Genomic DNA, 5,043 nt, shown 5'->3' with positions numbered 1-5,043 from the left:
GACTAGTATTCATAGTAAGAGCATTAACTGAAAATCAGTGAGGATGCAGCAGACTGATGGCCCAAGTACTGTCTCTCAAAAGTTAAGAGGCTAAATGATAAATGAGCTTTTTTCCCCCTTTTTTGAGACAGGGTCTCACTCTGTCACCCAGGCTGGAGTGCAGTGGCACAATCATGGCTCACTGCAGACTCAACCTCTCCGGCCAAGTGATCCTCCCACCTTAGCCTCCCAATTAGCTAGGACTACTGGTGCACATCACCACTTTTGGCTAATTTTTATATTTTTTGGTAGGGATGGGGTTTTGCCATGTTGCCCAGGCCAGTCTCGAACTCCTGAGCTCAAACAATCTGCCCACCTTGGCTTCCCAAATTGCTGGGATTACAGGTGTGAGGCACCACACCAGGTAATAAATGATACAATTCCTTCCAGTTTATTGCTTCGGTTCTGAGAATTATAACAAAAAGGCTCTGAATGATCTGGGGCAGCTATTGGCAAATCAGAACTGACTCATTAGAATTGTTCAGTTTAACAGAAAGGGCTGTTGCTTGTCTAATAAAGACACCTACTGGAAGGCAGTATGTTGTTATAGAAAGGACATTGGGCATCTACTAGAGTTAGTGGTATCTTACATCCAGCTTGTGCATTGATTAAGTCTTTAGGTTGTGGACCCCTGGGGGCCTATGCAGTTAATTCTAGAGAGGTGAGGAGAAGTCATAAACCCATTTCTCACCAGTTGCTGTCTGAAGACTGAATAAATAACATACCTCCAACTATAAAAGTAACATTTTCCCTAAGAACACACATGCTATTGCAATTAATGAAGTACAGCATCATCAAAAAGTGTTCATGAATACCTGAGAGCTTCTTTTTTTTTTTTTAATTTAAGTTTTAGGGTACATGTGCACATTGTGCAGGTTAGATACATATGTATACATGTGCCATGCTGGTGCACTGCACCCACTAACTCATCATCTAGCATTAGGTATATCTCCCAATGCTATCCCTCCCCCCTCCCCCCACCCCACAACAGTCCCCAGAGTGTGATATTCCCCTTCCTGTGTCCATGTGATCTCATTGTTCAATTCCCACCTATGAGTGAGAATATGTGGTGTTTGGTTTTTTGTTCTTGCGATAGTTTACTGAGAATGATGATTTCCAATTTCATCCATGTCCCTACAAAGGACATGAACTCATCATTTTTTATGGCTGCATAGTATTCCATGGTGTATATGTGCCACATTTTCTTAATCCAGTCTATCATTGTTGGACATTTGGGTTGGTTCCAAGTCTTTGCTATTGTGAATAATGCCGCAATAAACATACGTGTGCATGTGTCTTTATAGCAGCATGATTTATAGTCATTTGGGTATATACCCAGTAATGGGATGGCTGGGTCAAATGGTATTTCCAGTTCTAGATCCCTGAGGAATCGCCACACTGACTTCCACAATGGTTGAACTAGTTTACAGTCCCACCAACAGTGTCAAAGTGTTCCTATTTCTCCACATCCTCTCCAGCACCTGTTGTTTCCTGACTTTTTAATGATTGCCATTCTAACTGGTGTGAGATGGTATCTCATAGTGGTTTTGATTTGCATTTCTCTGATGGCCAGTGATGATGAGCATTTTTTCATGTGTGTTTTGGCTGCATAAATGTCTTCTTTTGAGAAGTGTCTGTTCATGTCCTTCGCCCACTTTTTGATGGGGTTGTTTGTTTTTTTCTTGTAAATGTGTTTGAGTTCATTGTAGATTCTGGATATTAGCCCTTTGTCAGATGAGTAGGTTGCGAAAATTTTCTCCCATTTTGTAGGTTGCCTGTTCACTCTCATGGTAGTTTCTTTTGCTGTGCAGAAGCTCTTTAGTTTAATTAGATCCCATTTGTCAATTTTGCCTTTTGTTGCCATTGCTTTTGGTGTTTTGGTCATGAAGTCCTTGACCATGCCTATGTCCTGAATGGTAATGCCTAGGTTTTCTTCTAGGGTTTTTATGGTTTTAGGTCTAATGTTTAAATCTTTAATCCATCTTGAATTGATTTTTGTATAAGGAGTAAGGAAGGGATCCAGTTTCAGCTTTCTACATATGGCTATCCAGTTTCCCCAGCACCATTTATTAAATAGGGAATCCTTTCCCCATTGCTTGTTTTTCTCAGGTTTGTCAAAGATCAGACAGTTGTGGGTATGCGGCATTATTTCTGAGGGCTCTGTTCTGTTCCATTGATCTATATCTCTGTTTTGGTACCAGTACCATGCTGTTTTGGTTACTGTAGCCTTGTAGTAACGTTTGAAGTCAGGTAGTGTGATGCCTCCAGCTTTGTTCTTTTGGCTTAGGATTGACTTGGCAATGCGGGCTCTTTTTTGGTTCCATATGAACTTTAAAGTAGTTTTTTCCAATTCTGTGAAGAAAGGCATTGGTAGCTTGATGGGGATGGCATTGAATCTGTAAATTACCTTGGGCAGTATGGCCATTTTCACGATATTGATTCTTCCTGCCCATGAGCATGGAATGTTCTTCCATTTGTTTGTATCCTCTTTTATTTCCTTGAGGAGTGGTTTGTAGTTCTCCTTGAAGAGGTCCTTCACATCCCTTGTAAGTTGGATTCGTAGGTATTTTATTCTCTTTGAAGCAATTGTGAATGGGAGTTCACTCATGATTTGGCTCTCTGTTTGTTGTTGGTGTATAAGAATGCTTGTGATTTTTGTACATTGATTTTGTATCCTGAGACTTTGCTGAAGTTGCTTATCATCTTAAGGAGATTTTGGGCTGAGACAATGGGGTTTTCTAGATATACAATCATGTCCTCTGCAAACAGGGACAATTTGACTTCCTCTTTTCCTAATTGAATACCCTTTATTTCCTTCTCCTGCCTAATTGCCCTGGCCAGAACTTCCAACACTATGTTGAATAGGAGTGGTGAGAGAGGGCATCCCTGTCTTGTGCCAGTTTTCAAAGGGAATGCTTCCAGTTTTTGCCCATTCAGTATGATATTGGCTGTGGGCTTGTCATAGATAGCTCTTATTATTTTGTAATACGTCCCATCAATACCTAATTTATTGAGAGTTTTTAGCATGAAGGGTTGTTGAATTTTGTCAAAGGCTTTTTCTGCATCTATTGAGATAATCATGTGGTTTTTGTCTTTGGCTCTGTTTATATGCTGGATTACATTTATTGATTTGCGTATATTGAACCAGCCTTGCATCCCAGGGATGAAGCCCACTTGATCATGGTGGATAAGCTTTTTGATGTGCTGCTGGATTCGGTTTGCCAGTATTTTATTGAGGATTTTTGCATCAATGTTCATCAAGGATATTGGTCTAAAATTCTCTTTTTTTGTTGTGTCTCTGCCCGGCTTTGGTATCAGAATGATGCTGGCCTCATAAAATGAGTTAGGGAGGATTCCCTCTTTTTCTATTGATTGGAATAGTTTCAGAAGGAATGGTACCAGTTCTTCCTTGTACCTCTGGTAGAATTCGGCTGTGAATCCATCTGGTCCTGGACTCTTTTTGGTTGGTAAACTATTGATTATTGCCACAATTTCAGCTCCTGTTATTGGTCAATTCAGAGATTCAACTTCTTCCTGGTTTAGTCTTGGGAGAGTGTATGTGTCGAGGAATTTATCCATTTCTTCTAGATTTTCTAGTTTATTTGCATAGAGGTGTTTGTAGTATTCTCTGATGGTAGTTTGTATTTCTGTGGGATCGGTGGTGATATCCCCTTTATCATTTTTTATTGTGTCTATTTGATTCTTCTCTCTTTTTTTCTTTATTAGTCTTGCTAGTGGTCTATCAATTTTGTTGATCCTTTCAGAAAACCAGCTCCTGGATTCATTGATTTTTTGAAGGGTTTTTTGTGTCTTTATTTCCTTCAGTTCTGCTCTGATTTTAGTTATTTCTTGCCTTCTGCTAGCTTTTGAATGTGTTTGCTCTTGCTTTTCTAGTTCTTTTAATTGTGATGTTAGGGTGTCAATTTTGGATCTTTCCTGCTTTCTCTTGTGGGCATTTAGTGCTATAAATTTCCCTCTACACACTGCCTTGAATGCATCCCAGAGATTCTGGTATGTTGTGTCTTTGTTCTCGTTGGTTTCAAAGAACATCTTTATTTCTGCCTTCATTTCGTTATGTACCCAGTAGTCATTCAGGAGCAGGTTGTTCAGTTTCCATGTAGTTGAGCGGCTTTGAGTGAGATTGTTAATCCTGAGTTCTAGTTTGATTGCACTGTGGTCTGAGAGATAGTTTGTTATAATTTCTGTTCTTTTACATTTGCTGAGAAGAGCTTTACTTCCAACTATGTGGTCAATTTTGGAATAGGTGTGGTGTGGTGCTGAAAAAAATGTATATTCTGTTGATTTGGGGTGGAGAGTTCTGTAGATGTCTATTAGGTCCGCTTGGTGCAGAGCTGAGTTCAATTCCTGGGTATCCTTGTTGACTTTCTGTCTCGTTGATCTGTCTAATGTTGACAGTGGGGTGTTAAAGTCTCCCATTATTAATGTGTGGGAGTCTAAGTCTCTTTGTAGGTCACTCAGGACTTGCTTCATGAATCTGGGTGCTCCTGTATTGGGTGCATATATATTTAGGATAGTTAGCTCTTCTTGTTGAATTGATCCCTTTACCATTATTTAATGGCCTTCTTTGTCTCTTTTGATCTTTGTTGGTTTAAAGTCTGTTTTATCAGAGACTAGGATTGCAACCCCTGCCTTTTTTTGTTTTCCATTTGCTTGGTAGATCTTCCTCCATCCTTTTATTTTGAGCCTATGTGTGTCTCTGCACATGAGATGGGTTTCCTGAATACAGCACACTGATGGGTCTTGACTCTTTATCCAATTTGCCAGTCTGTGTCTTTTAATTGGAGCATTTAGTCCATTTACATTTAAAGTTAATATTGTTATGTGTGAATTTGATCCTGTCATTATGAAGTTAGCTGGTGATTTTGCTTGTTAGTTGATGCAGTTTCTTCCTGGTCTCGATGATCTTTACATTTTGGCATGATTTTGCAGCAGCTGGTACCGGTTGTTCCTTTCCATGTTTAGCGCTTCCTTCAGGAGCTCTTG

Source organism: Homo sapiens, chromosome 9 (assembly GCF_000001405.40).
Source record: "Homo sapiens chromosome 9, GRCh38.p14 Primary Assembly".
Lineage (NCBI taxonomy): Eukaryota > Metazoa > Chordata > Mammalia > Primates > Hominidae > Homo > Homo sapiens.
The sequence above is the reverse complement of the archived record's forward strand: the minus strand, read 5'-3'. Positions refer to the sequence as shown.